Source organism: Homo sapiens, chromosome 20 (genome assembly GCF_000001405.40).
Source record: "Homo sapiens chromosome 20, GRCh38.p14 Primary Assembly".
Lineage (NCBI taxonomy): Eukaryota > Metazoa > Chordata > Mammalia > Primates > Hominidae > Homo > Homo sapiens.
The window spans coordinates 57043978-57056532 of record NC_000020.11 but is presented as its reverse complement, the minus strand read 5'-3'; the positions used below and the strand labels follow the sequence as shown (position 1 = coordinate 57056532).

Below are 12555 nucleotides of genomic sequence, written 5' to 3'. Positions count from 1 at the left end.
TGACCTTGACATAGACCCCAGATTCAGATCAGGGCTCCAGCCCTTGCCTTTTGCTTTTTGGGTACATCAGTTTCCTCTCAGGAGTCTTTGTTCCCTTAAAAGAGTAAGAGCAGTAAGTGCCCCCAGAAGGTTGCTGTGAGGTTTAAATGAAATGAACTGCTTTGGGATATCAAATCCAGGCAAAAAAAAAAAAAAAAAAAATTAACTGCGGAGTCCCATGTCCAGGGTCTGGTATGCAGCCTGGCTCCATAAATACCAGTTACTACTGAGTAATAAACATGGAAACCACAATATATTTAAATCAATCAAATGAAGCCTGGTTTATCCTGAGTCTCCACGTAGTAAAAATTGGTTCCAATATAATTTAGCCCACATCAGAAGTCAGATTTGAAATAAGTATTACGGGGAAACTACAAATTACATTTTTAAAGATTGGTCTATAATTATAGGCTTAATTAATTACACAAGGGATTTGTTCTTGAAAAGGTGTGTAAAATGTGTCCCATTTTGCACCAGAGAGATGGCCCATTGGAAGGAACCCTGTCATTCCTACAGATCTGTGAACCTTGGAGTTTCCACACCTTAGGTTTTTATTAAAAGGAAGGCCACCTGCTGTTAGTTGGACATTCAAGATATACTGTTTAAAAACAAAAAACCAAAAACAAAGAAGTACGTGTTCTCTGGATGAAGAAAGTTAACCCAAACAGAAGAGGGTGGATTTAGAATTACAAGTTTATGCCTTCATGTTCCCTCTCCCAGGTATAAACATCAGTTCAGGTCTTGGTGTGAACTCTTCCAGACTTTCTTCTACACGTGTACAAATATCTGCAACCAGTAGATCTGTTTTTTTGACTTGCAATTATCCTCTATATTCCATGCTGCAACCTGCTTTCTTCACTGACCAATATATCCCACCTGTTCAGCACCCATTCTCGCGAATGCCTGCTGAGCATTCAGTAAGAAGAGTGTTACGTTTTAAGAAATTTCAGTTCTGCTTTATAGCTTTCCGGTCTCAAAAATTGGTGAACAAAGGTAAGCAAGACAGGACAGTCTAACATAAAGGTCTGCTGCCCCCGAGTTCCCCAATCCCCCTCTGCAGAGGGCCTGCTGTTTACGGGTGTGTGTGGCCCTGCACTCTGCGTACACGAGCACATGATTACCCATCTCCAGTTCTGTTTTGTTTCTAAACCCACTTGGGATTATGCTACATAGACTTCCTTGCACCTTGTGCCAAGAACAAGAGGAAAATTCAGCCCAAGTGGGAATGATCTTAAACAAAAGCAACTTTAAAAAATAAATACCTCTAAAGTGAGATTCTCCCATGAGGGTACTGACTGTTTATTTTCGGTTGGGTGTAAAACTCTTGCCCCGTGGCTGCTGGTGGTTTTCTGTAGGTTGGACCGATTCTAAGTCTTTCCTGAGAAGGGTGGTGTTCAGCCTTCCCTGAGAAGACACCAGCACTCTCTAACCCCTTTGCAGGCAGTTACAGGTTTTCCTTCCCCATCCCTGGAAATGAGGCTGTCTGTGGAAAGCAATGGTGGAGATTGAAGGGCGAACCCATCCCAGTTCTGAGACAGGAGAATCGCTTGAACCTGGGAGGCGGAGGTTGCAGTGAGCCGATTTCGCACCACTGCACTCCAGCCTGGGTGACAGAGCGAGACTCTGTCTCAAAAAAAAAAAAAAAAAAATTGTCTCACAGCCTGGGAACCCCCTCAGTCCCAGGCAAACGAGGACGGTTGGTCACGATGGGTAGAGAACCGCCCGCAATTGGTTCTTGGGAGTTCTGCCAATGCCCAGAAGGTTAGGTCAGCTACTGGAATGCTCTCCCTGGAAGGCGGGCGTCGGGGCAGACAGTGGACCTCTGTTGGGGGCGCATTCCCTAGCCTTGTTTGTTGAGCTGCCTTGATGCTGGCGGGAAGCTGTGTCCACACAGCAGGCAGCAGGGTTATCCCGAACACTCTTTGTGCTCACAACAGACTGGGTTGTGTTTGCGACTGGCATTCAGCTGGTGACGAAATGGCAAGCCGAGATACTGGTGTGGCGCCTGACGTTTTGGCCTCAGCTGTGAGAGCCAGAGAGCCGGAACCCTGAACCCCCTTCTCTAGAACTTTCTCCTCCAGGTCAGGCCGGCTGACCTCCGATTCTGTGTGGGTTGTGGGCCCTGAGATCCCAGACCCCTGGGTTGAGACCTGGCTCATCCCCAAAGGAATACACCCCGAATGTGGGAGAAGGCGCTGGCTGTGGGAGCGCAGGCCGGGACTTGATCAGGTTTCGCCCTCACCCGAGGCACTCATGAAATGATTTGGTGCAACCCTCCACCTTCACCCCCTCTTCACGTGGCCTGGCCCCAGCACCTCTAGGGAGGTTGGGAGATGTGGGTGGTGATAGCAGACAAGGAGGGCTGAGTGGGGGGCCCAGGGACCCCTCGCTTGGCCGCCCCCGCAGCCACCCAGTCTCAAACATCTTTCAACCTCAGTGGGTTTCACTGTGTTTGGTGAATCATCTCTCTTCCCGCTTGACAAGTGATACACACATTTCATCAGATAATCCCATGAGGTGCAGTTATTTTATTTTCCTGTTTATAATCAGAGGATTATAAACAGGAAACAGCCCCACCCCTCACTCTGGGTCAAATCCTGCTGATTTTATTTGTCACCCACATTGTTTAAAAATTTTTTTTAGTAGCTGCGAAAGCAGCGTTTAAAAACGAAGAGATCACACTCTACAATCTAGATTGCCTGATGCTCTTTAAAACAAACAAACAAACAAAAAAAAAAACAACAAGAAATTGGGATCAGTAGGTCTGGTTCCAACAATCAGCCAGAGTGATGAGCAGAGGCTCCTGGAGACAGGCACAGGCATGGACCCTCCAGGTTGCCGCAATCCCCACCACTCCCTGCTGTCACACCTGGCTCCGTAGGGATTGGTGGCTGAGACCCTGCCCTTTACCACCATTGAGCAGAATGAATTTCCTGTCTGCTCCTAGGTGTTTGCAGGCAAAGTAGCTACACTTTGTACCGTGTGTGACTGTGGGTTACCTATCCAATATCTCCCCTCCCTCCCTCCTTCGTTTCCTCCTTTCTTTCTTTCAGTTAAATGACTTTATCTCTGGAATCCCTGCAGGTAGAGCTGGCTCATGAGATGTAAGGCAGGGTCATTGCATGGGGCTGCTCTGTAGGCTTCTTAAAGTCAAGTTGGCTCAGCTGAGAAGTGCGCCCTTTCTCTCATTGCCAATTCCCTTGCTTCTTTCTCCTGCCTGGAATAAGTTATGATGGCTGGAGCTCCAGCAGCCATTCTGGACGACGAGGAGACCTACGACTCTAAGAAATCTCATGCTAAGAATGAAAAGCAGAAAAACAGAAGGAGCCTGGGTTCTCAGTGACTATGTGCCCTTGCCAGCCCAGGTTTGCTCTTCTCTAGACATCTTTTAGATGAAAAGGAAATAGGTACCCCTTGTTTAAGTCACTTATTTAAGTTCTCTTTTATATGCAATCAAATGGAATTCTAACAACATACTTTTTACCTTCATTTCCTTTCTTTAAGAAAGTAATTTGCAATACTACTTTAGGTGTTTATCAGGGCTGTAACTTTGCTGTGTGGACTTGGGCATCCAAAAATTCGTATAGAAATCAGTGCCCAGAATCAAGCTGATCCTGGGATTTTATATATATATATATCTGAACACAATACATATATATATATCTGAACACTATATATATATATATATCTGAACACTATATATATATATCTCTGAACACGATATATATATATCTGAACACTATATATATATATGAACACTATATATATATATATCTGAACACGATATATATATATATCTGAACATGATTATTTCATCAGACAATCCACTAAGAGGTTAAAAGAAGAAAGCCTGCAGTGGAAGTGTACTCTTTCTTAAGAGTGCTAGATTGTTTTCTTAAGGTTCTACATTTACCATGGGAGTTTTGGGGTTCTGGTGCTCTTTTTCCCTTGAATTTTTTCTTAGGGCTGTGTAGTCTTTCTCACAGGAGCCCAGAACTTAGGTTTTATCCTCAGGCTTAAGCAACCCAAATATTAAGATTGAATTTTTCATTTGAAAATTGAAAATTTCATTTCTAATTTTTCTTGGAATATTTAGACACAGAAAAGAAACTTTTCCCTAGTCCCTACACCAGTGCGCAACAATAGAAGTTTCTGTGATGATGGAAGTGAAGAGGCCTCCATACCTGCTCTATGCAAATGGCAGCCAGTGGCCACATGTGGTCTCTGAGTTCTTGAAAGTGGGTAGTGTGACGGAGGAGCTAAATTTTAAATTTCATTTAATTTTTATTAGTTTAAATAGCCCTACGTGGCTCATGGCAGCCATATTGGATAGATCAGCACTAGCTTCTTCTCTGTAGATTATCGGAATTTCTTTTTAAGCTTCTAGGGGAGAATTCACTGCCCTTCATCTTGACCTCTCCATTTCTAAACCTAAATATTGCCTCAATCCCTCAAGCTGCCTCAAGTCCAGGTTTGAGTTTCAGTCCCCTGCCTTCCAGTTGACACTGGGGGCACCTTCTTCGTCCTATTGAGTCTTGGGAGTTCCCTCTGTACACAGCCTCTCAGGGCTGTCCTCCAAATTGCATTAAATGGCATGCCATATGCAAATGACACTCAACAAATAATAGTTGTTCGGTGAAGAGTAGCTCCTTCCCTGGCCTGATTTAGCCTTATTTGCCCTCATAGCTCATCTCTTCTTCCACAGTTTCAGCTCCTGGAGAGCAGATTCCTGATTCTGCAATCATGTGTCACATAAAGATGTTTCAGTCAATGACAGATTACATATATGATGGGCTGCATATACTGTATAAGATGGAGTCCCATAAGATTATAATGGAGCTGAAAATTTCCTATTGCCTAGTGACAGTGTAGCTGCCATGATGTCATAGTGCAATGCATTCCATTTTCTATGTTTAGTTATGTTTCAGTACACAAGTACTCACCATTGTGTTACAGTTGTCTACAGTGTTCAGTATAGTAACATTCTGTACAGGTTTGTGTCCTGGGAGCAGTAGGCCGTACCAGGTAGCCTAGGTGTGTGGTAAGCTATACCTTCTATATACCATTTAAGTTCATGTGAGTACATGCTACAGAGTTCACAGAGCGACAAAATCACCTAAGGATTCTGTTTTCAGAATGCATCTGCATCGTTAGGCAATGCATGATTGTACTTTGAACCTGGCCCGGTGCTCAGAGCTGTGCAGGAATTGGAAAGGCAAGTGACTCAAATAGTTTCCAACACAATCAGTCACCATGTCCTGGTATGATCTCCATAGCAGTGAGCCCAGCAGTTAGATGTGGGACTGGGGAGTCAGTCAGGATTACCTTTCAACTGGTTCTCAAATTCAGGAACAGTGCCTCTAACCAGGTGGCCCCAGCACAGTCCCTGTGTTGCTACTGGGGAACTGTGCAAAGTGTGTCATGGTTTTGTCCTGGTTGGACCCCATAAACACTCGAAGGCAACCAGACTGACTTTGAAAGCAGAAGGTCCTAGTTTTTTGGGGTCCAGCCCAAAACATTAGCCTTGGGGCCATGTTTTCTTTTTTCATTTTATTTATTTTAAGAGATAAAATCTTGCTCTGTCATGCAGGCTGGAGTACCAGTGATCACTGCTCACAGCAGCCTCTAACTCCTAGGCTCAAGCTATCCTCCCACCTCAGCCTCTTGAGTAACTGGGACTGCAGGTGTGTACCACCATGCCTGGATAAGGGGCCATGTTTTGTTCCAACACAGGCATTCTGATCTTGTCCTTTTAATGGAAAGGCCATCAGAAGTTTGGGATATGGATTCCGTAGGAATGAAGTTTAAAACACAAAATGACTCCAGCTAACATGTGTTCAAGGGCTTACTAAGTGCCAGGCTTTGTACTAAGTGCTTAATATGAAGTATGTTCGGACACCATCAAAACAATGTTATGAAAGGCAGTCTTCCTCCCTTATCTGTGGGGGATGCTTTCCAAGACCCCCCAGTGGATGCCTAAAGTCACAGATAGTACCAAACCCTATGTACGTTTTTTCCTGTACAGTAAAGGGCAGATAGTGTGGCCAATGTGGACACCCTGGACCAAGGGAGTACTCACATCCCGGTGGGACAGAGCAGGATGGCTCAGGATTTCATCACACTACTCGGAACAGTATACGATTTAAAACGTACAAATTGTTTCTTTCTGGAATTTTCTAGTTTCAGAATATTTTTGGACCGCAGTTGACTGCAGGTAGCAGAAACCTAGGAAAACGAAACTGCCAATGGGGGACCACTGTATTCCTATTATCATGCCTGTTTTGCACAGGGAGAAACCGAGGCTCCCAGAGGTTAAAAAGCTGCCCAAGATCACACAGGTAAGCAAGTGGCTGAGTCAGGGCTCCGACCCGGGCCATGAAGCCCCATCTCAGCTGCTGTGGATATTGCCTGCTGCAAGCTCACTGTGTCAGCACCCACCAAAGATATACGCCGTGGAAGGGCCCAGTGAGAAAGCAGTGACCATGTTTTGGATTTCTCTCCAGGTAAATATTTTTTCAAACAGGCCTTCCATGTGGAAAGGAATCACCAGATCAAATACAGAATAGCCAGTTAAATTGGGTGTTTAGATAAACAATGAATAACTTTTTTTACTGTAAGTATGCCCTGACTTGCTTGTGCTGAGAAGAAGAGTTACTCATTGTTTATCTGCAGTTCAAATTGACCTGGACATCTTATATTTTATCTGCTCTGTCTCTGGCCACGCTGCTGGGCAGGCTTGACCACACACATCTGCGGAACTCTGGGTCTCCGCCGTACGAGTGGCATAGACGCCATCCTCAATGCAGATCCCCATCAAACCTGGAAAAAATAAAATAAGGCCTCCCAGGTAACTGTGAGACCTATAGGTGCTTGTTAGTTTCCTAAGCTGCTCAAGCTGCCGTGCTCTGACAGCTGTACTTGTGCTTTGCGGCGTAATTTACAGGCCCGCTGGAGGGGATGGCAGGGTGGGACCCTGCTCCTCTTATTTGCTGCCAAGATTTGGGGCTACCAGTTGCTCTTGTCAATCTTTGGCTTAATTATTTAGCAGTTGTAAAGGACTCATTAAAAACGCCCAAGTTTATTGGAAACACCTCCCGCCGCTCGGAGGCAGGCCAAATCGGGAGCCCGTGTACCCACATGTTCAGGTTGAGCCCAACAAAATTGCTGACTTTAATTACACTACTTGGTCTAGAAGGTGGTGAGAGTGGGGGGTGGGGGGAGGCATGGATGATGAGTGGGAAGCGAAGCGGAGGAGCGGCCCTGGAATCTCAGGGACAGGTCTTCAGAGGGTGCGATGCTGTGTGCTGACCCCATCCCAAACCCCCACCCCACTGGTTTCAGGCTCAGGCCAGCCCCTGTCGCGCCCCAGAGGTGGGCCTGCCCCTCTCCAGACCTCCAGGCTCTTCCTGCCTCCCTCATGCCTCTGGTGGGCCTGGTGAGTGTGGCTGTTCTCTTTTGTCTGAGTACTCATTGCCTGGATTTTATTACTTGAATAAATATCAAAACAAAGAAGAAAATCCTTCAACCAGCTCTGTCTTCATTTTCCACACATCCTTCCAGCCACGGGTTCCAGCCACAGGTTCATCCCCCAAGCTCCTCCAGAGGGGGTGTGTGGGAGCCCATGGAGGTGCTGGCCATGATCTCCCTGATGGCCCAGGTGACACACAGTGATGGAGCCCCTCTCCAGGCAAGGAGGCACCTTGGAGAGCAGGCTACCTTTTCAGAGTTCCCACCCCAGCTGTGCCTGTCTGGGCCCCTATTGTTGAATGAATGGAGATGTTACTCCCAATTTTGTCTTTCAATCATAATACTAGCCTCCTTTGTGAACCTTTTTTTTTTTTTTCAGTATGTGCCTATTTCTTTAGGCTGGCGCCCCAGGTTGGAATTACTGGGTGAAGATGAAATCACAGGTGGGGACTCTGATCCTTTATCACCTCTCCTGGGCCACCACCCTCTCACCTGGGCGTTCCATCGGCCTCCTCCCTGGGCTCCCTGCTGCCCTCCTGGCCTCTGGGCTGCCCATTCTCAACTTGGCAGCCAGGGGGTGCTGCTGCAACCAAAGTGTGATCTTAATGCTCCAGCCCCTGCAATGGATTCCTCCCCTCTCAGGGTGACAGCAAGGTCATCGCAGTGACTTATAAGCGGAGCAGAGCCAAGCCCTAGAGCAGAATTTCTCAACTACTGCACTTTTGACATTGGGCTGGGCCGTTCTCTGAGCAGGGGCTGCCCTGGGCATTGCAGGGTGTTTAGCAGTATCCCTGGCCCCCACCCACTCGATGGCAAGTAGTACTCCCCAAATTATGACAATGGAAAAATGTCTCCAGATGTCGCCAGATGTCCCCTGAGAACCGCAGGTGACGAGAGCCTCTGACTTCCCCTCCTCCCCTCCCTCCGGCACTTCGCTGTGGCCACGCTGGCGGTCTTGCTGTTTCTTAAGCCCTCAGCAGCTTTGCACTGGCTGTTCCTTCTCCCGGATGAGCCCTTCCCCAGATACCTGCCTGGCTCAGGCGTTGCCTTTTTAATGTCGTGACTCAAATGTCCCCTTCTCATTGAGGCCTGCCTGGACTCCCTCTTTAGAATAGCACCGGGCCCCCGTGACTTTATCAGGCTTTGTTTCCAACAAACTTGTCACCAGACACACTGTATTTTTATTTACTTATTAAGTAACTGGAACGCTGTCTCTGTCTCTCTGCCGGGATGTAATATCCAGAAGGGCAGGGATTTTTGTCTGTTTTCCTTGCTGCTGTGGCACCGGTGCCTGTCCCAGCACAGTACCTGGCCCCTAGCCAGGGCTCACTGAACGTCGCTTGAGGAAGAAACAAGGGATGACCTTTGATGCCAGAGTCAGAAACACGGTTTTTGGTGCCGCATGTCCGCCCCTCTCTGTGGACAGGGGGAGGCGGTGGGGAAGGCCCAGGTCTCCCAGAGCAACTGGTTTTGCTCCCTGAGGGGCTTGCTGGCCTCCTGGGGTGGAGGTGTCACCAGGGGCAGGATTCCTGCTGAGCAAGTGAAACACCCGCTGCAGGCAGCAGAGGGTGCAGCTGAGAGTTGGTCACGATTGCACTTCCGACTTTGGAGACCCAGAACCACTCCAGCGGAGGCCCTGGGGGAGCCCCTTCCCTTTTGGAGGAAGGAAAGGGAGACCTCTGTTTGCTGGCTGAGTCGGGGTGTGAAGCAGGTTGGGCAGGATGAGGAGGCCGAATTGGGAAGGAGGGGGAGGTGGGGGCTGGATTTAAATGGGGCCAGGCCTGAATTTCATCTCAGCAACTGCTCCGTAGGCCCCAGCTTTAAGAGGGGGTTCGCCCTCCACCCGCACATCCAAGACTCGTTGGAGCACTGGGGTGTGGTCTCCGGACAGTTCACAGGGATCTGCATTCCTGAGGCTGGGGGTGGTCAACGGATGGTCAAGATGAGCATGTCCCAATCAATGGAGGGCCTCCTTCCCCCTCCATGCAGGGTCTCTGTGCAGGGCGCTCGCCCAGGGCTTTGTCTGGGTCCTCTCCAGTTACCCACTCCAGAGGGGTCTCTGTGATGCGTCCTCGGCCACCCACCAGCATCACTAGTCCACAGGAGAGCATGTGAGGAGGGGAACCCCCGCCTGCACCCTGTGCCTGATGGCTCATTTGCTTCCATCCCTTCCTAGCAGCACTAGGAGGAGTCACTCTCAGGAGACCCACTTTATAGCTGAAGATACTGAGGACCAGAGAGGTGAAGTCTCCTGCCTAAGGTCACACAGCCCCTCAGTGGAGAAACAGAGATTCCAACTACAGTTCACTTCCCAGAAGTTTCCAGGACTTGAGCTTGAGGGTGAGGCAGGAGAAATCCTACTGAGAGCTTCTTTCCTCCTCCACTCACCAGCCCTGTTCTAGGGGCTTTGGACCTTGCTACTCAAAGTGTGGCCAAAGCCCATAGCATCAGCCTCTCCTGGGAGCATGTTTGAAATGCAGGTTCTTGGCCGGGCACAGTGGCTTACAGCTGTAATCCCAGCATTTTGGGAGGTGGAGGTGGGCGGATCTCTTGAGTCAAGGAGTTGGAGACCAGCCTGGGCAACACAGCAAAACCCTGTCTCTAAAAAAAAAAAAAATACAAAAAAATACAAAAATTAGCCAGGTGTAGTGATGAGCACCTGTAGTCCCAGCTACTCAGGAGGCTGAGGTGGAAGAATCGTTTAAGCCCCGGGGGCAGAGGTTGCAGTGAGCCGAGATTGTGCCACTGTCCTCCAGCCTGGACTGACAGAATGAGGCCCTGTCTCAAAAAAAAAAAAAAAAAAAAGAAGAAGAAAAGAAAAAAAAGAAAGAAAGACAGAAAGAAAGAAAGAAAGAAAGAAAAGAAAAGAAAAGAGAAAAGACAAAGAATTGCAGGTTCTCAAACCAGCAACTCGTTTTAACAAGATTGTCCCTCATTCTCAAACTTTACCTTTGAATCATCCCCCATGGGTCTGGAGTGGGGCCCAAGAATCTGCATTTCTCTCCAGGTGATGCAATAGCGAAGTTTTGTTCGCAGGGTCTTACTGTTCCCTGGCAGAGGGGGACCTCCAACAGATCGAGATAGCTGAGAAGAAGGCTGGTAAGACACAAGAAGCAATTCTGGACCTGGGCTTCTTGAACTTGAACATGCACCCGAATCACCTGGAGGACTTGTTAAAACGCAGAGTGCAGAGGGATGGGGGGAAAGAATGTGCATTTCTTTTTTTTCTTTCTTTTTTTTAATTATTATTATACTTTAAGTTTTAGGGTACATGTGCACAATGTGCAGGTTAGTTACATATGTATACATGTGCCATGCTGGTGCGCTGCACCCACTAGCTCGTCATCTAGCATTAGGTATATCTCCCAATGCTATCCCTCCCCCCTCCCCCCACCCCACAACAGTCCCCAGAGTGTGATGTTCCCCTTCCTGTGTCCATGTGTTCTCATTGTTCAATTCCCACCTATGAGTGAGAATATGCGGTGTTTGGTTTTTTGTTCAAGAATATGCATTTCTAACAAGTTCCCCGATGCTGCTGATGCTGCAGGCCCGGGGACCCCACTTCAAGAACCACTGCTCTAGCCCTACAGGTGAGCTACCAGTGCATAACATGGTGCTCAGGGATTAGGGTGGTCAGAGACCCAAGTCTGCAGGGCTCCAGTTCCAGCCATCCCCTGCCTGGAGCCTCCTCTAGGGACCCTCGGAGGATGGCCCAAGCTGGGTGAGGTGAATGGCTGCCCCATACTCCCCACACAACCGGCACAAACTCTGCTCTGCCTGATGCTCCAGGTTCAACCAGGAGATCCTCCAGCATCTCAGCATCTTCGTCCACATCCCACAGCAAGCACACCTCTGCTCTCATGGACAAGGGCCCCTGGGGGCGCTGAGGGAGCTCGTGTCTCAGGTGCTGAAGGTGAATGATGTGCCACCCCAGGTGTAGCTGGAGGGAGGTGGAGGCAGGAGGCTGGGTGGAGGCTGCAGGTGGGCAGGGTCCAGATGGCCCAGAGCCCAGCTGGTGTTGATTTGCAGCTGATGTGTCCTTTTAGCATCATCCAAGCTGGCTTCAGAGTCACCGCACTCACAGTTCATGTCTGTTCTCCAAATTAGAGCATCACTGTTATTTCGAAGTACGTGGTATGGAAAAGTTCAGTTTGGAATTCTTGCATACAATCGTAAGAAATTACAATATTTTATGTTGTTAAAAGAATCTTTGGATTCTTTCAATATAATTTTCACCTGTTCTTTTATGTTCCTTTTTTGAATATTGTTTTAAAAATGATTTTAAAAAATATATTCCTTATTTATTCAAAATTTCTCATAAAGAGTGGCAATTAGTAATTTCCAGATATCCCTAACAAAATTCTTGCTGAGAAATTGTGTGCTATCATGTCAAGCATAAAATCTGGCATAAGCTAGGAACCTATATGGAAGCAAGTTCAAGTTCTTTTTTTAAGGTAAGAAGATTTTATTTGGAAGCTTTAAACAAAACTCAGTATTAAATATACCCCGTAATCCTTTGTATTTTGTCTTTATTATCATTACACAGTACTTTAAATGCCATGAAGCTTTTCACCAAGCCTCATAACGGACTCCCCAGAGCCTGGCTGCCTAAGCCCAGGACACTGTCTAGATGCTACCATTTTCTATACATGCGGTGTTGCCAAGAGGCAAGAGCTGCTCCAGAGAAGAGGGGCTAGACTCGGGTCCAGCACAGGGCTTGGCATGTAGAAAGTACTCAAAAGATGGAAACGTGGGTTTGAATGAATACATTCAGGCTTTCTTTTGGCATAGAAGAAAAATCAGTGCATCTTTGCTTGGTCTTTCACAGGGCCCCAAATATCCATATCCAGAAGGGCAGGGATTTTTGTCTGTTTTCCTCGCTGCTGTGGCACCAGTGCCTGTCCCAGCACAGTACCTGGCCCCTAGCCAGGGCTCGCTGAACGTCGCTGGAGGAAGAAACGAGGGATGACCTTTGAGACCAGAGTCAGAAACACGGTCTTTGGTCCCGCATGTCCGCCCCTCTCTGTGGACAGGGGAAGGCAGTGGGGA

General features: G+C 47.8%; 1 annotated feature.

Annotated features, from left to right (window-relative positions):
• Positions 11313-11814: an enhancer, noted in NCBI's record as "H3K4me1 hESC enhancer chr20:55619775-55620276 (GRCh37/hg19 assembly coordinates)". NCBI's record gives its function as "activates a minimal SCP1, AML or CMV promoter by ChIP-STARR-seq in naive H9 embryonic stem cells {active_cell/tissue: H9 hESC(naive)}" and the evidence as "EXISTENCE:reporter gene assay evidence [ECO:0000049][PMID:30033119]".